This window comes from Homo sapiens, chromosome 2 (assembly GCF_000001405.40).
Source record: "Homo sapiens chromosome 2, GRCh38.p14 Primary Assembly".
Taxonomy (NCBI): Eukaryota; Metazoa; Chordata; class Mammalia; order Primates; family Hominidae; genus Homo; species Homo sapiens.
In genome coordinates, this window is record NC_000002.12 from 3595435 (window position 1) to 3614290 (window position 18856).

Genomic DNA, 18856 nt, shown 5'->3' on the forward strand with positions numbered 1-18856 from the left:
ACCCTCTTGGGTGGCAGATTTCAAACAGCCCAAGGCCCAGGGGGCTAAACAGTCTTCGCTAATTCCAAACCGCAGTGCAGTACCTGGTCTCACAACCTGACGATTGTTCCTGAGCCTGAGCAGCGTCTGACGGGCCAGGCGGACAGCAGCCACGACTGCCCCCAGGGACCAGTGGCTCTGTGTTGGGCTCAGGAACGGGGATCAGAGAGGTGGGGGAAAGGTGGGCCTTGCTTTGGCAACTTTCCAGGGAAAGACTTTGAGTTCAGATGGGGTCATCTAAAACCAAGTGGGGTCATCTTGTCTCCAAAATTGGAAAGGAGGAAAGTTTCCTAGGGCCGCTGCCTCCTACCTGGATGCCTTGCGCTAGGAACTGGCGGTCTTTTTAGAGCTGAGGTGATGTGGTCGTTCTCAATTTAAAGATGAACGTTTAAAGCCATCTCATGTGCATAGCTGGAATTTTGGTTTGATGGGAAGCACTTTGCCTGTGGTAGGCAGAGCACTGCCCCAATCTTTCACAGCTATTCGATTTTGTTTACAATTTTGAAAAATCCATGTACCGTAGAAGAGAGCACACCGGTAATGTGCTGACCGCTGGGGGAAGATAAGAGAGGATAGGTGCCTTCTTACTCTGTGCTCTTGGTAAGAAGCTAAGAGGAGCGTGTGCTGTTGTGGGTGGAATCCAGGCTGCCCCAGAAGGTGCTCTGTCACTGTAGGGAGGGAAACACCGCGGTGGGGCTGGGGCAGTCCCCAGTGAGAGGAACCTCCTCATGCTTCAGGGATGTGGTTCTTAGGAGGTATTTGTGGTGCCTGTAAGATGCTGGGCCTTGCTGTAGATACTTAATGAAAAAGTAGAATAGCATGTTTGGCAACTGAAGCCATGATTTTTTCTCATTGTCTATTTCATTTTTTTTTTTTTTTTTGAGATGGACTCTGGCTCTGTCACCCAGGCTGGAGTGCAATGGCACCGTCTTGGCTCACTGCAACCTCCGCCTCCCAGGTTCAAGCGATTATCCTGCCTCAGCTTCCTGAGTAGCTGGGATTACAGGTGTGCATCATGGCACCTGGCTAATTTTTGTACTTTTTAGTGGAGAGGGGGGTTTCACCATGTTGGCCAGGCTGCTCTCGAACTCCTAACCAGGTGATCTGCCCACCTTGGCCTCCCAAAATGCTAGGATTATAGGCATGAGCCACTGGGCCTGGCCCCATTGTTTATTTCATTCATAACATGTATTTCCTCTCAGGATTCCACGTTTAACCCCCTCTCCCCTGCTTGTCAAGTCTGCCCCTTCCATTGATGGGAGGGCCCTGAGCGTCTTGGGCCCTGGCTGGGAGATAAGGATGTTGTTCTTAAAGAGGTCCTGGGGGTAGCTGTGGCTTCTCCGTTTACAAAATGGAATTCCTCTTCTAAGAAGGCAGTCAGAGGGCGAGACCTCTGGGAAGCAGAGACTCCTTCGGGCGCCTGGGTGCCCTCACCCTGTGCCTACCTGCCCTGGTTCCTGCTGTGCGTCTGAGAGCGCCCCGCTGCAGGGCCTGTGCCTCCTTTGTGCCCATAGGCCTAGCTGGGGCCCCTCGCAGGAAAGTGGACAGAAACTCTGTGAATGGGCAGCGGGGTCAGTGAATGAGTGGAGCGAGTGAAGGCATGAGAAATCCCAGCCTGGGCTGTTCCGGGGATCAGTGGATGAGTGAAGTGAGGGAAGGCACAAGAAATCCCAGCCTGTGCTGCTCCGGGGTCAGTGAATGAATGGAGTGAAGGCACAAGAAATCCCGGCCTGGGCTGCTCCGGGGTCAGTGAATGAATGGAGTGAAGGCACGAGAAATCCCAGCCTGGGCTGCTCCGGGATCAGCAGATGAGTGTGAGTGAAGGCACGAGAAATCCCACCTGGGCTGCTCTGGTGTCAGTGAATGAATGGAGTGAAGGCATGAGAAATCCCACCTGGGCTGCTCCGGGGTCAGCGGATGAATGGAGTGAAGGCACGAGAAATCCCGCCTGGGCTGCTCTGGGATCAGCAGATGAGTGTGAGTGAAGGCACGAGAAATCCTGCCTGGGCTGCTCTGGGTTTCTCTGCTCACTACTCACCCCTTTTCTTGGGAGACGGAGCCTGATCTTTGTTGAAGCCACTCCTGGGACATCTGCGGAGTGAGGGCAGTAAAAGCCTTGCTGAACACCTGGTTATACCTGAACAGAATCACTTCTAGCTAGAGGGGAAATTCCCATGTCAGCCTTTGATTCCTGAGACATTAAAAAAAAAAAAAACTAAACCCAGTTTGCATCCAGCAAACACTGAGAAGTGAGGTTCGACTTGCGTACTGAGTGGGTGGGGAGGAAGAGTTTACTATTGCTTTCAGAAGCCACATACCACAAGGAGCCAAAATACTGCTGCTGAGGCAGGAGCCGGGGAGACTACGGTTATGAGCCCAGTGGACCAGCACGTCTGGCTACAAACCTTGTGGTGCCCCTTGTTTTGACATTATTTTTGTATTTTTTATTTTTATTTTATTTTATTTATTTCATTTTTTTGAGACTGAGTCTCACTCTTATCACTCAGGCTAGAGGGCAGTGGTGTGATCTCGACTCACTGCAACCTCCACCTCCCGGGTTCAAGCGATTCTCCTGCCTCAGCCTCCCGAGTCACTGGAATTCCAGGCACCCGCCACCATGCCCAGCTAATTTTTGTATTTTTAGTAGAGACAGGGTTTCACCATGTTGGCCAGGCTGGTCTCGAACTCCTGACCTCAGGTGATCCACCCACCTCGGCCTCCCAAAGTGGTGGGATTACAAACGTGAGCCACTGTGCTTGGCCCATTTCAACATTATTAGGAATTTCAGGACAATGACAGCAGGGCAGTAACCCACGTCTGCAGACTGCCTGCCCTGGAAATACTGTGTAGACATTAGATATAATAAAGATTTGGAAACACGGAAACACCACGAGGAGAAGAGCAGAAGGCTCTATTTGCGATGCAATTGTGAACTTTCGTTCTGTTGTTTGTTCCTTTATTTACTCATTCACTTGTTCACTCAGTTTGGTGCCTGCTAAACTGCAGGCTTCTGCGTGCCCAGAGACCTTTACGAAGCTGTAGCTTGCACAGATCACTTGCATGTGGACCCAAGCCTGGCAGCGAACAAGGAAGGTGGGAGGAGTGAAGTCAGCTGGTGGGGTCCTGGGTTTCCGCTTTTCGGTTGCCCTTATTGTTCTAATATCCGCGTGAGCACAGGGGAGAAGGGTGTGGGCACAGGCAGCGGGTGAGGGGTGTGGAGAGGAGGCTGGAGGCGGACCGTGGGTGAGGGGTGTGGAGAGGAGGCTGGAGGCGGGCCGTGGGTGCGGGGTGTGGAGAGGAGGCTGCAGGCGGAGTGCCCAGCTGCGTGGCCTGGTGGTGGAGTTGGGGCCGATTGTTCAACTTTCCATATTGCATTGTCTTTAGAGTGAGGAACTGTAATAAGGTACAAGGTTGTTTTGGGAATTAAATCAGATATGTGTCCACATTTGGTATACAACGTATATTGGCTCCTTGTTCTCTCCATCAAAAACCTATTTTTAAAAATCCCTTACATCGTGACTGAAGGAGGAAGGTGAGCCCTTCCTTTGATGCATGGGGAGAGGGTAGTCGGGCAGAAAGAGGAAACAGCCAACAGTGCTGGGAAGCCCTGGATTTCAGTCCCACCCTCACCACACACTGGTTACGCAATGCTGGGAAGCGTTCTTAATTTTTCTTTTCTTTGGCTTCCTCATCTGTGACGAGTGCGTGATGGTGCTGATCTCTGTGCAGTGTATGGGAGTTATTTTCCTCCAACCCAGTGGACGTTCTGTACCCCTGTCCTTTACAAAGTCATTTCTGTAAGGGGCTCTGCAGGAAGAAGCCAGGTCCTCATCTGGTGCGCGATGACCCACACCACAGGACGGCACTGAATGGAAACGGGTTTCCCTGTACCCATTCTGCGGGAGAATTGACTGACGCAGAGGCACTGTGCGGGGGACAGGCATTCTCAGATGAGGAACCCTGGCTTCTAGCCCTTTCCCTGGACTGGGAGCCCATGCATGTGATCACAGTAGGATCAGGAGCTGCCATTTGGTGAGCATTTGCTATGTGCCACACTGGGTCACGGTGCCACACGCATTAATTACCGCTGCAATCCCTTCAAATAGCCTATCTCCATATTAAGAGAAGGGGAGGGGCTTGCAAACGGCATGTGGTGTGGCCAAGGTGCTGGTAAGTGGTTCAGTGGATTTGTAGCTGTCCCTCACCCACTGCCCTCAGGATGCCAAGTCCCGGGAGGTCTCTGGGCAGTGCCATGGCCCCTCCATGGCCCAGGGAGGCAAGCACTGGCCTACTGGCCCCACAGTCATGAGGGTGAGCTCCACGCCACCAGCTGTGCCCTTCCTCTCCCAGCACCCGTCAGTGGCATGCAGTCTGCCTTAATAAGATTAGATAATCCATAAGCTACAACTACATAAAGTTGAATATAAAGACACTGAAGACTATGGATACTGTGCTGTGATATCTTATAAAACTCAAAAGCGGCCAGGCACGGTGGCTCAAGCCTGTAATCGCAGCACTTTGGGAGGCCGAGGTGGGTGGATCATGAGGTCAGGAGATGGAGACCATTCTAGCCAACACGGTGAAACCCCTTCTCTACTAAAAATACACAAAATTAGCCAGGCGTGGTGGCGGGCAGCTGTAGTCCCAGCTACTTGCGAAGCTGAGGCGGGAGAATGGCGTGAACCCGGGAGGCAGAGCTTGCAGTGAGCTGAGATCGAGCCACTGCACCCCAGCCTGGGTGACAGTGCGAGACTCTGTCTCAAAAAAAAAAAAAAAAAGCAAAACTCAAAAGCAAGCAAGGCTGGGCACAGTGGCTCACACCTGTAGTCCCAGCAGCTTGGGAGGCCGAGAGAGGCAGATCACTTCAGCCCAGGAGTTTGAGACCAGCCTGGGCAACATGGTGAGAACCTGTCTCTACAAAAAAGACAAAAATTGCCCAGACATGGTGGTACATGCCTGTAGTCTCAGCTACCAGGGAGGCTGAGGTGGGAGGATCCCCTGAGCCCAGGAAATTGAGGCTGCAGTGAGCCAAGATGCACTACTGCACTCCAGTCCTGTCCCAAAACCAAACACAAGCAAAACGTGACAGAATATGGTTTAAGAACGCATAATGTGTAGGAATCCTGCTTAAACCCCGCCAGAGGAGAAGTTCGCATTCAGGATGGCGTCCCCCAGGGGAGGGCGCGTGGATGGGAGCGGGGCTGGGGCTTTGGGGCCGGTGAGGCAGGTGCACTCACCAGTGTCTGCTGTGTGGTTAGACCTCGTCATTGTGTAGTTGTATACACACATTAACTCCTAATGAACTAGAAAGTGAACATCAAAAATGACACCTTGAGGTATTAATAATTGTTGAAGCTGGGCAATGGGTATATGGAAGTTCATGGTACTGCTTTTGTGTGTATCTGACATTTTCCATTATAAATGTTAAGAATGATGAGAGCCTCAGCAGGACAATGCCCGGCCCCGTGATGGCTGTGTCACTGCACGGGGCGGGCTCCCATCCACGCCCCTTCTCAGAAGAGTCGGGAGCCCCCACTTTCCTCTTGGCCTTTCCACTCCTGTGCTTTGTGAAGTCATCTCTACTTCTGATTCCTCGTGGATTCTTGTAGGATGTTTGAAGAAAGGGGGATGTGGGCAGTTTCTGAATTAACCCCTTTTTCCACCACCCTTCCCACACGGGCAGGGGGCCTCGGCGTGGTGGCAGTGGAGCCGGGATTTGAGTAGGGTCGCCGTGGACAGGGTGGTGTGCGGACCATGTAGACCATCATAGTGTAGCCAAAGCTCATGGGTTTACTTTTTGTGACTTTGAGCTTTTGGATTTTTCTTTATTATTATTATTTTTTTTGAGACAGGGTCTCACTCTGACTGCCCGGGTTGGAGTGCAGTGGTGTGATCACCGCTCACTGCAGCCTCAACTTCCCAGGCTCAGGTGATGCTCCCACTTCAGCCTCTCCAGTAGCTGGGACTACAGGTGCGTGACACTACACCTGGCTGCTTTTTTGTAGAGATGGGGTTTAGCCATGTTGCCCAGGCTGATCTCAAACTCCTGGACTCAAGCAATCTGCTGGCCTTGGCCTTCCAAAGTGCTGGGATTACAGGCGTGAGCCACTGTGACTTTGTGCTTTATAGTACCTTTTTTCCCCCGAGCCATTCTTGGACATCCGGGATGAGAGACGGCTTCAGCTTTAAGGTCTGTAGGTTTTCACAGAGGTAGGATTTAAGTTCTGTCATCTTCGGCAAGTGAAGCTCTCCCACGCGCGTGCCCAAGCCCTGGCTCCGCCCTAACTCTAATCCTCTCTCCCTTCCCGCCCCGCCCCTTCATCAACCCTTGCCTCAGTGGAAACGGACATTTAACATGGAATGTTCATGGCAGTAACCCTAGCCGTCTCCACGTCATCTTTTTGTCTGTGACCATTGGAGGCGATTTTTTTCAGATTTGGGAGAAGGATTTCAAATGACTTCCCTTCGAGCTGCAGGGCTATCTTGGGCATCTTGACCTCCACACATTTCTGGGAGAACTCCTCGTGCAGCAGGACATCAGGTGGCAAAGGTGGGCTCTCGCCAGCCAGAGGCGGGGTCTCTGTAGACTCCATGGGGCCCTGGCTTTCGGGATCTGTCCGGACCACCCTCCCCTGGCTTTTGTAGCAGGGCTCTCACGGGGCTGTTGATGTGGGAAGCCCCCCACCACAGATGGCCTTTCTCTAGCAGCTAAGGTGACCTTCATTTTGGACCTGAGAGGGCCAGCTGGCTTGGAATTGTGGGAGAGAAAATGGAGGGTACCCTGACCCCCAAGCCTTGCAAACCGAACCATTGCTCCACCCACTGGGTCACATAGGAGTCTATAGTGTCTCAGACTCGGAAAGTTGAACCCGAGCCCCTGACTTCACTTCACCTCCTCAGTTCTGTTTCTCAGCAGCTGGCTGCACTGTTCACCTGGCTGCTCAGAACAAAAGCTTTAATCTTTGATTTCTCTCTGTCATTTCCCACATAACTGATCAGCAAAACCTGTCAGCTTTGCTTCCAGACTGCATCCCATACCTCTGTCATCACCTCCACCCACACGTGGGGTCCAGCTGCCATCCTCGCCCGCTGTGCTGTTGTGGTCACCCTGGCTTGGTCTCCTTGCTTCCGTTGCTGTTCCCCTAAGTCCCGTCTCAAGAGCAGGGAGACCCTTTTGTAAAGCCGCTCGCTGATCCAGACCCTCTGTCTCATACAGAGCAACCCCCAAAGCTGCTGGGCGCCGGCTCCTGTCTCCTGTCCTCTGTGCCCACCAGGCCAGCCCACCTCTCCCCGCACTGTCCGGCATGCACTGCCTCAAGGCTTTCTCTGAGCCGCCCTCACCCACCTGTCAGCGAGGCTTCCCTGGCAACCATCCTGAACAGCAGCATGTGTCCCGGCCACTGGACTCTGCCTCACTCTTCCCCACGGCGCTTACCCCTGCCTCTGTCTGTCTCTGTCTGTCTGTCTGTCTGTCTCTTCCAATAGGAATAAAAACATAAATGTTCTTGCTCTACTCCTGGTGCCTAGAGCTGTGCCTGACATTTGGTCGGCATCCACAAATGTTTCTGAACGAATGATTAACCAAACGAAAGGCTGCCAGGAAGTATCCGGAAGCATGGCCTTTGGGATGGACAGATGCTCCTGTGGCTTCCATGCTCTGCGGAGCCCCAGTCCCAGCTCGCCACGGCTCTTTATCAGCTGTGCTCCAGGGCTGCTGTCCGCACTCTGCCCTTCTGGCCTGTCCCTCTCTCCCCTCCTGTCCCTTTCCCTCTGTTTCCCGGGCCTCTCCCTTCAAGTTGAGTAGTTTCCATTGCCCTCTTTGTTTTCCGAGTTTTATTTATTTATTATATTTTATTTTTTTTTGGGACGGAGTCTCGCTGTCATGCAGGCTGGAGTGTAGTGGCGTGATCTCAGGTCACTGCAACCTCCGCCTCCTGGGTTCAAGCAGTTCTCCTGCCTCAGCCTCCCAAGTAGCTGGGATTAGAGGTGCCCGCCACCACACCCAGCTAATTTTTGTATTTTTAGAAGACATGCGGTTTCACCATGTTGTCCAGACTGGTCTCGAACTCCCGACTTTAGGTGATCTGCCCACCTCAGCCTCCCAAAGTGCTGGAATTACAGGTGTGAGCCACTGCGCCTGGTCTTGTTTTCCAAGTTGTAACGCCCTTCACGATGAAGAAACAAAGAGGTCAGCACGTACCCGCCCCTCCTGGGATGGTCAGATGTCCATGACACCCCTCTTCCTATGGGCTCGGCCCCCACCTCCCCAGGCCCCTGGGTTCCTAAGGCCGGGGCTCCTCTCTCCTTACTGATCTCACCGAGGAAGGCCAGGTGCCTGTCTCCTGCCACCTAAGGAGATGTGGGGGCGTGGATTCCTTGTCTGTGAATGGAGCCGCTAAGCTTGGGGCTCCTCAGGCGCCTTGGCTGTTTCCTTTAGCTGTATCTCAGCCTCCCTCCGCTGTGCCCAGCTCTGCAGAGGCTCCATGTCTGTGGCTGGCTATGCTGTGTGGAGACCCCTACTCCACTCTGTGTAGGAATCGTTTGTCCCAGAGATCAGATCGAACTCCTTGGGGTGGGCGAGCCGTAGGCCTTCAATCAAGGCTCACTGACCAGGGCTGGCATGCACTTGGTGCCTGGTGCTGACCCTGGGGCTGCTGTGGAAGCTTCTCAGTGGAGGCTCATGATTGGTGCTTGAGTGAGTGAGGAGCACCCGCCATGGGGGCCCAGACAGCCCTTCCAGGCACCAGGAGGGCTACACCCCTTGCCTCCGAGGCCTGCTCACTGTCACTGGCTGCCCGGCTGTTGCAGTTCCCATCACTGTTTATTCCTTCCTCTGTGTAGGAGTTGGTGTCCTGCCTGCGCTCAGGATGAGGGGGAATCTGGCCCTGGTGGGCGTTCTAATCAGCCTGGCCTTCCTGTCACTGCTGCCATCTGGACATCCTCAGCCGGCTGGCGATGACGCCTGCTCTGTGCAGATCCTCGTCCCTGGCCTCAAAGGTAACCGCTCCCTGGACTCTGGGCTGCTGGGCAGTGGCCTCCGGGCCAGCTGAGAGACTCCCATGCAACTGCGCAGTTCCACGGAAAAGCACAAAGCCCCAGCAAATCTGCTTACCCCATTGGGTCTCAGTTTCCCCATCTGGAAATCAAGGGTTGGGTGACATGATGTCTAAACTGTCTTCGGCCATGGAATTCCTAATTCTGAAGATGGCAATTTATTTGCAACTCAGCCCTCTCCGGGGGGACCTTGCTGGAAGGCACCTGGCTTTCCGTCAGACCCTGCACACATGGCCTCGTGTGATCCTCCCCATGAGATGATCTCATGTGGACCATTTTACAGATAAGGAAATTTGAGGGTCAGAGAAAATTTGCAACTTGTGTTAAGTTCCCAAAGTGTGCTTCTACATTGCTTCCTGAGAGCTCTTAATATTTTATTTTAAAAATTAAAAAATCCCTGGTGGTCTAGTGGTTAGGGGAAAAAAAAAAGACAGGAACTTTTTTTTTTCTTGTTGCTTTGTCTGTAATCTGCTCCCGGATAGAGATAGTTCTGCAGGTGAGGCATGGGTGAGAAAGTCCCTGAGGCTGCGGTATCTGAAGCCTCCAGAGCAGCATCTTCAAGTAAGAAAATGACCAGCTTCTACAAAGCAGAGGCAACAGGTCCCCAAGCCTGGGGGAGCCCGGTGTGAAATGAAAATGTGGGCCCCTTGTTCAAAATTACAGAACCCAAGAAGGGACAGCAGAGTGTGTGCCAGTGTCGGGTGGCAGGGCCGGGGCTGCACCGGCCGCAGCAGAGTCCAGGCCGCCGCTGAGGGGAGTCACGTGGGTGCCGAGGAGGGGGCGGGGGAGTCACGTGGGTGCCGAGGAGGGGGCGGGGGAGTCACGTGGGTGCCGAGGAGGGGGCGGGGGAGTCACGTGGGTGCCGAGGAGGGGGAGGGGAGTCACGTGGGTGCCGAGGAGGGGAGGGGAGTCACGTGGGTGCCGAGGAGGGGAGGGGAGTCACGTGGGTGCTGAGGAGGGGGAGGGGCGGCCACGTGGGTGCTGAGGAGGCGGGGGAGGGGAGTCACGTGGTTGATGAGGGGGAGGGGAGTCACGTGGGTGCTGAGGAGGGGAGGGGAGTCACGTGGGTCCTGAGGAGGGGGAGGGGCACATTGACCTTTTGCAACCTGAATCCGGTCCGCCCCCTCCTCATCCGCGGTCCGCTTGGGCCTTCAGCTTCTCCTGTGGAGCGTCTGCGGCTCTTTTTATTGAAACATTAGAGAAAAGTAGATTCAAACCCATGATCAAAACAGTCACCACGAAAGACAAACCCTGCTCAGCCCGTGTTGTACAAAATGAAAAGGTCAGCCCTCTCCCGGGGCACAGGGTCCGGACAGCTCGGGGCCACCCTGCCAGGCTGTGCAGCTCTGGCTGGGGGCTTTTTTCCGGCTGTGTTAGCCCTGCTGTTGGAAACCAAGTGGACTGTCCTGCAGCCCAGACAAGCCCAGTGGCCTTTGTGCTTTTAATTGTGATAAATGTACCTGCTTTAGAAAATGTTTAATTATGTTGGAAGCAACTTAAACTGTTGGATGCCTACGGCTCTCTCAGAAGTTTTGGTGAAAGTGGCTTTGGCCCTGACTTTGTGGTAGCGTGTGTGGGTTTGTGAGTGGAACCTTCAGCTTTAGGTTGGAAACGGTGGCTGTGGAGAGCTGGACTTTTGGCTGTGGAGGTCACGTCCCTGCCCAATGTGGTGGGTGCCTCCGAGTCCCTACGGTTGTCTTCCCTGCGCCCTGCCAGGTCAGTAGCCTGCACTGGTGGGGGCCGTGGGGTGGGCTCCAGGGTCCTTTCTGGGCGCCGCCTTTCCCAGGTGCTGTTGGGAGGGTCCTTCCCAGCTGTCCACGTCCTGGGTCCCCTGGATGTGCTGTCATTTCCCACATGGGTAGGGTCCCTTCTCAACCTTTGCAGGCTGGGAAGTAGGGCAGGTCTGAGGGTGCTGTGGGTCAGCCGTCCTGCGTGACGGGTCACCTGTCCTCCCAAGCCTCGGCCTCCTGGTCCGTGAGGTTGGGGAGGCGATGCCAGCTTGGGGCTCTGTGGGGATGCAGTGGTGGCACCAGGAGTGGGCACACAGTGACCGGGGACCCAGCCCCTGCTCCTTGCTCTGGGACAGTGACTTACAAAGCACTAACCCTGTGCAGGCAGCGAGCCCGACCAGGGAGCAGATCAGGTGTCCGTCCAGCACGTGCCCCGCGAGTCCGCAAGCGAGAGGCGAGCACCAGGGGCAAGGAGCGGTTTAGAAGGATTCAGGATACCCAGCATGTCAGGAATTGGGTTACTCAATGGAGAAAATGGTGTGTGCCAGCAGACTTCATCCCTGCCGGCCCCAGCATGTGCCGTAGCCCCCCAGGGTCGCTGGAGGTCAAAGAGGAGAGGCAGCGTGCGGCACAGTGCCAGCTTCTAAGGAAACAGACACACACGCAGTCACCATTCATTAGACAAGCGTCCGTTGAGAATCCACCAGGCAGGCTCAGGGCTGGGATGAAGAAGCCGCGGCCTGTCTCCTCACAGTCCCGCCGTTCGGCCCCGGACACGGGGTGGCATCTGGTCTGAGAAACACAGCACGCGCCGCCCCCCCAACCCCCACAACCCCCTGTGTTTTGGATCCTGAAACCTCTGCCAACTCCACATTTGGCTGGAGAATCTTCCTGAGCACACGAGTCAGGCTGCCGCTGACTGCTGGTGGTGCTTGAGATGACATTTATTTGCCATTCCAGGCCATTTCAGATAATAATAATATATTATCTTTACATTTAGAGGGAATAATATATTGTCTTTACATTTAGAGAGAATGACAACTCCTTTTAATGGGAAAAAAGTCTTTTTTTAATGGTTAAAAAAATGGCTGTAGGTGAGAAAACATTTATCTGTATTAACAAATGTGTTTCCCAGAAATATGAAAGGTCATAGTTCTTCTTATAGGCTTTATCAAATGAATTTTTTTTTTGCTTTTTTTTTTTTTTTGAGATGGAGTTTCTCTCTTGTTGCCCAGGCTGGAGTGCAATGGTGCGACCTTGGCTCACTGCAGCCTCCGCCTCTCAGGTTCAAGTGATTCTCCTGCCTCAGCCTCCCAAGTAGCTGGGACTATAGGCGCGCACCATCAACGCCCGGCTAATTTTTGTATTTTTAGTAGAGACGGGGTTTCACCATGTTATCCAGGCTGGTCTCGAACTCCTGACCTCACGTAATCCACCCGCTTTGGCTTCCCAAAGTGCTGGGATTACAGGTGTGAGCCAACATACCTGGCCTATCAAATTAATTTTAAAATCATTTACTGCCATTCTTTAAAACAACATTGATAAAACCAGTAATGGGGCCTGAATAACATGCGCTGTGGGAGGTTTGCTCTTCTGACACCTGACGGCCTGTCTGTGCCGTCTCCCCTTGTGTAGAACAAGCCAGGCAGGCTGAGGTCCTGGCTTTCTCCTCTCTGACTTCCCATGGCCCTGGGGTGCCGTGGCACTTGTTGTGGCCAGCAGGGATGTGAAGTCGCTGGCACACGAGTTTGTTCAGCTTGTAAGCAGGTGGCGTGACAGTCAAGCACTGTCCACGGATCTTCCTCAACTGGCTATAAATATGTCGAAGTATCTTAGGTTCTCAATAAAATAACTGACATGCGCCTTCCTAGCTGGGTTGGAAATGACCCCAAATACGATCTAGGTAAAAGCTTTTTGTTCGTAGATTTGTACATGATTTGCAGGGAAGCCAAGCAAACAGTAAATGTCAGCCACGTTTTGTTTCTTTGAGCGAGGAGAGAGCTGCGTTGTGGTGATGGTGGAAGTGAGCCAGCAGTTGAAATGTTAGCCTCTCCTGGTAGAGAAATAACTTGTCATTAGAACTTTATGTAGTCAATCATCCTGAAAATGAAAAGGATGTGGGAAAAATGTCATTGTGCTCGCTGGGTCTACATTACAAAATGCATGGAGTGTTGAGTGGGGACGTGTATAGAAATCCTGCTCTGGAGTCATTACCTGCAGGGACATACATCTTTATGACCCCTGGGACCAGTGGACAATGAACACTTCAAACCTTGCCAAATTGGCCAGGTGCAGTGGGTCACGCCTGTGATCCCGGCACTTTGGGAAGCCGAGGTGGGAGGATGACTTGAGCCCAGGAGTTTGAGTCTACCCAGGGCAACAGAGTAAGACCCCATCTCTGGAAAACAAAAAACAAAAACAAAACAAAACAAAAAAACAACCCTGCCAAATTGTGAACAGTGCTTGAAAACAGCCTTGGTTCTTAAGATGCGTGGACAGGGCAAGTCTACAAGGCGGAGGCGACGGGGACCGTGGAGAAACCAGGGCAGCCCCGCCGTGGATGGGAGGCCTCTGTACTCTCTGGTCCTCAGTGCTGTTGGTCCTGAACCAGGGATTAAAATACTTTTTCTCGTGACAACCAGCACGGTGTCTTCCAGGGCATATTTTGTTCAATCCCCATCAGAGCTGAGGAGGACCAGGCTGGGAGGGCTTACGCTGGGTTTTGCACAGGAAGGAAAGCAGTTTCTGACTCCAGGTTTGGGTTCCCCACACTGCAGGCACAGCCGTGAGGCATTTGGGGTGCCTGCTGCCCAGCACTGGCTGAAATGCGCCTGGCCCTGTACAACTACAGACACAGGTCCATTAAGCAGAGCCCTTGGGAGATGGCATGTAAGTGGATTTTGTGATTAGCTGAGAGATATAAAGAAAACGTGTGTTAAATCCTCTTCTTTAGAAAGTCTTGCTGTTTTTAATGACTTATGATTCTTTCTCTCCTGCTTTAGTAACGAGAGTTTGTGGGACACAGTGTAATGTGTGGTGCTTTTCAGGGTCTCTTTCCGTGCCTCCAGTTGTTACTATGAACTATTTTTCTTTGATTTTTTTTTTTTTTTTTTTTTTTTTTTTTTTTTTAGAGACAGGATCTTGCTCTGTCACTCAGGCTGGAGTGCAGTGGTGCACTTATAGCTAACTGCAGCCTGCAACTCCTGGGCTGAAGAGCTCCTCCCACATCAGCTTCCTGAGTGGCTGGGACTACAGGTGCACAGCAACACATCCTGCTATTTTTTTTTTTGAAATGGAGTTTCGCTCTTGTTGCCCAGGCTGCAGTGCAATAGCGTGATCTTGGCTCACTGCAACCTCTGCCTCCTGGGTTCAAGCGATTCTCCTGCCTCAGCCTCCAGAGTAGCTGAGATTATAGGCACCCGCTACCACGCCTGGCTAATTTTTGTATTTTTAGTAGAGACGGGGTTTCACCATGTTGACCAGGCTGGTCTCAAACTCTTGACCTCAGGTGATCCACCCGCCTTGGGCTCCCAAAATGCTGGGATTACAGGTGTGAGCCACCATGCCCAACCCCTGCTAATTTTTTTGTAGAGATGGGGTCTTGCTGTGTTGCCCAGGCTGGTCTCAAACTCCTGCCTTTAAATGATCCTCCTGCCTTGGCCTCCCAAAGTGCCAGGATCACAGGCATGAGCCACTGCACCTGGCCAACCAGTTTTTAAAAATCAGATTAGAGACAGGCAGATGGATGCAGGTGGAGGTTGGTCAGAAGCTATCATGACAAACTTGTCCTTACTGCTTTATCTTTAGGAGGAGAGGAGACGAGGGTGAGTAGTCATGCTGGTTAGTGAGTCTCGCTCTGGGGTTTTGAAGCCTGAGCAAGGTGTGGTAAAGACACACTGGCGTGCCAGCACATCCCAGCTTGGACATGTCACTTGATTCTCGTAGCTGTGTCTTCACCTCTAGAGTGGACATAGTGCCCGCCCCATGTAGGGGGAGAGGTGAAATTATTATGCAAATAAGTGAATGCCGTGTACAAACTCCAGGAGCTTTCTTAAGCAGTATGAGAAGAGCTGGCAGACCTGCTTAGTGTTAATTCTTTACGAGTACTGATGGAGCACCCGCCTTCTTCCTGGTGCTCTGGGGGACCGAGGGTTGGGTGAGATGGAGCTGTGTCTTCTCAGAGTTTTCAGCCAGTGGGAGAAAGAGCAGACTGCTGTCATGTAGGCGGTGTGAAATGCTTTATGAAGGAAACATTCTTCCGCCCTCATCTCAGCCACAATCACTATTGGCCTGGACCGTGGCATGGGTGGTCAGGTTATCCCCATGAGCTCCAGGCATGAAGTCCCTGGGCTGCCTACTGCCTCGGGCTCGTGGCTCGCTCTGCCCAACCACCTGGCTTCCCGTCATCCCCTCCAGCCCTTCCCCCTTGTCTGTGCACCTGCTGACCCTGTCCTCAGAACACTTCTTACTCTGTGCCTGGCTACCCCTGCTCAGCAGCTTAGCCTGAGAACCACCCCTCAGAGGGGCTTTTCGGATCTTGCCGTCTAAATTATGGCTCCTTTGTTGAGGTTATTGCCTCATTTTATTCTTGCGTCCGGTGTTGCTAATGAGAATTCTTATGTCCATCTGATTCTCATTCACAGGTATGCAGTCTTTAAACCTGTTTTTCCCTCCTGGGTAGCTGACAGCATTTTCTCTTTATTCTTGGTGTTCTGTGATGTTGCTCTGACATGTCTGAGTTACTTTTCTCTGATTTTCCCCGTGTGGTTCTCCGCAGGCCCTTTCACAGAGTTCTTTCATGGCTTTCCTTAGCACTGGGAAATCGCAGCTACTAAATCTTCGCAGCCACGAAGGCTTTGTTCCTCTCTTTCCGGAATTGCTGTCAGAGCGACATTGGCATTTGTGAGTTTTTCCTTCAACTCTCAACTTCGTAACTTCAAAACAAACAAACAAAGCCTGCATTTCTTATTAGTGCTGCCCTGTGAACAATGCTTCCTCCTCACCGCTGGCTCCACGAGGCCTCTTCATCCTGGGTCACCGGGGACTCGCCTTTCTGCGGAGTGGCTCCCGCACAGCGTCTCTGCTCGGCTCTTTCCGCTGCAGTGTGCTGTTGTTCCCGGACTGGCCTCTCCCATGTTATGAGGACCTCCATTCACCGATTGCACAGTCAGCGTCCGGCTGCTCCACTGTTCCGTCTTCTCTGTTCTTTCTTCTGCACGATGCTGGTGCCCCTGAAACCTCTGGGGATTCTTAATGCTGAGTTTATCTTGTTAGTGGATATTTCTTGCTAAACTGTCAATACTTCTCTTTTCTTCTTACAAGATAAGAAAGCAAACTTGAGAACTACTTGGAGCCTCAGAGCAGCATGTGGGTGTTGATCGTGGGTCAGCCCAGGGGCAGCCCACAGGCTTTTCAGTAGGTGGCCCTGCGGGGCTGGGGCTGTGGCACGGGGGTGATGTGGGGATGGGCCTGCCACCATCGCTGTGCTTTTCTCTTTGTTACTTGGATTTAAATGGAAAGTCCCCTCCGTGAGGCCAGATAATCAGCTTTGGGGATTTTGTGGAGGGATCTGTAATCTCAACTGAGCCTCTCTCCAAGACAAGGTGTGTGGGCCACAACGTGTGTGGGCGGCAAGCCGTCCAGGTGCCGAGGCAAGAGACCGAGGGCACGAGCTGGTCCAGTATGATAAAATATATAAAACAACAAGAGTTATACTCTATATGCTCTCTCTATATATAGGGTTGTTTTGTATATTTTATCATACTGGAACAGCTCGTGCCCTCGGTCTCTTGCCTCGGCACCTGGATGGCTGGCTGCCCACAAAGGTGCAAATGGAGAGTTATAGAGAAGTAAAGTTTACGTGAACGCTGGCACAATTGTGCAGAGAGGGAAGGTGAACTTGTAGCATATCAGCGCACACACGCGCACACATACACGTGCACACCTATGCACATGCGGACACACGCACACACATGCACCCACGCACCCACGCACACGCATGCACACATGCACACACATGCACACACACTCCCTGTCTGCAACCATTCAGAGGAGGGATAGTGCAACAGGTAAGAAATACGGCCTTATAAAAATGACTACAGAGCCGAGTCCCAGCCAGCAGAGTGGCCCTGTTGAGAGAATCCGGAAGAGCCTCCCGGAGAACCAGGTGAGAAGGCGGACCCTGGACAGGAGCCGGCTGACCAGGCAGGCTGGGCAGAGGGCACAGAGTAGGGAAAGACCGGGGTCCGATGTAGAGACCACACTGAGGAGAGGCTCAAGTACTGCACGTCATTTATAGCTGAATCTAGAGACATAATAGAATTCCATTTGTTTCAGGACAGTCATTTTGGTGTGGATTAGAGTGGGGGGAGAAGACTGGAGTGGAGGTGTTGGTGTCCACAGGCCTTCCTGAGGCCCCTGGCCTCACTGCGCACATCTCTGAACTGTGCCTTGTAGGGTGTCTCCACCAGTGATTCACCCTCTGTCTCCTGCACCTGCTGAGCCTTGGAAGTGGGTGGACGTGCCCACCTGGTCACAGGCAGCCCCCGTGGTGGAGGCCCTGGCTGAGCAGGAGCCTGTGCCCTGGGGGGCTCACACTGATGGGGCCAGTGGGATGCTGACATAGTTCATCCTTCCCTGAGTACCAAGCAGATGAAGCTCAGGGAGAGGTCGGGGTGACGCTTCCCATGGGGGCGCCTGGAGACGCTGCCGCCCTTCTCATTGGTGTTAGGGTTGGGGAGAGCCGGCGTTTAGACGCGGCACTGTGCACCCAGGGACAGACTAGGAGCCCGCCAAGAGGGGTAACTGGTGAGAGAAACACAGGCCCTTTCTAAGAGAGAAGGTAGGGCAGGGAGACAAATAGCCCTAAAAGCAGAATCAGGGGCACCCAGAGTAGCGGCTGGGCTGCAGGCGGGGAGGGAGGTAGGGAGAGAAGGGGCTTGGCCACCTGCAGGGACCCGGGGAGAACGCTTCTAACTGTTCTTCCTCCACAAATCACTCTGAGACGCTGTGCTGGCCAGACGAGCTGCTAAATGGATGTGACTTCTTCCACAGGGGATGCGGGAGAGAAGGGAGACAAAGGCGCCCCCGGACGGCCTGGAAGAGTCGGCCCCACGGGAGAAAAAGGTACCTGCAGCCCTGGGCCGGCCCTCAGAGCTCTGAGGATGGAGGCACCGCTCCTGCTAGAGCCGGGTGGGGAGGTGGGGGTGGTGGTTCCAGAGAGGACAGGCCCTGCCCTCTGGGTCCCAGGGAGGCAGACGGCATGGGACTTGGGTCGGGAGCAGGGAGGGGAGAGTGGTCCTTCAGCACTGCTCCTTGTGCTGACCTGTGGGGCTCTAGGAAAGAAAGTGTGTCCTGGAACTCAGCAGAGGCTCCTGGCCCCTTTAAGCCTCATCTGTAAGACGGGAATAACAGCTTCCAGATCATTTGTGAGCGCTAAGTGAATCAGTGTCGTTATGAAGGCGGCGTGGCAGAGTACACAGATAGGACCCTCATCACTTTGCGTCTGTCTCCTCCTTCGTAAAGTCGTGTGATTCTGCCTGCCTCGTGGGACTGTGCCGAGGCTCATGGGAGCTAGATCATACGTGTAAAGGAAATGTATCATGTGTAAAGTAGCTGCACAGTGCATGGCAGGGGTTAAATATATGGTGGCTATTATCTTTATATACTCCTTGTTACTGCTTAAAATTTTTTTAAGTGTTTTTTCTTTTTCTTTCTTTCTTTCTTTTTTTTTTTTTTGAGACTGAGTCTTGCTCTGTTGCCCAGGCTGGAGTGCAGTGGCACAGTCTTGGCTCACTGTAACCTTCTCCTCCCAGGTTCAAGCTATTCTCCTGCCTCAACCTGTTGAGTAGCTGGCATGTGCTATCACACCCAGCTAATTTTTTTTTGGGGGGTATTTTTAGTAGAGACTAGGTTTCACCATGTTGGCCAGGCTGGTCTCGAACTCCTGGCCTCAAGTAATACATTTTTTCCAAGTCATTAAAGATTGTCTCTAGAAATGCTTTCTCAGTATGTACACATCATTCTATGAGAAC

General features: G+C 52.9%; 1 protein-coding gene across 13 annotated transcripts in view; it reads left to right on the forward strand.

The window, feature by feature from the left end:
• COLEC11 (collectin subfamily member 11) overlaps positions 1-18856 on the forward strand; it is a 49533-nt gene that overhangs the window by 323 nt on the left and 30354 nt on the right. For 4 of the 13 annotated variants that reach the window (NR_045659.2, NM_199235.3, NM_024027.5 and 1 more), the window contains exons 2-3: positions 8881-9036; positions 17877-17948. Coding sequence is in view for 12 of the 13 variants with exons in the window: in NM_024027.5 (NP_076932.1) it covers positions 8907-9036; positions 17877-17948 (202 nt within the window). In the remaining variant the exon portion in view is untranslated. Of the gene's footprint in view, positions 1-6471; positions 6590-8118; positions 8228-8880; positions 9037-10617; positions 10810-17876; positions 17949-18856 lie in introns of those variants that run through there. The other 9 variants (NM_001255986.1, NM_001255988.1, NM_001255982.2 and 6 more) reach the window with 6 other exon arrangements.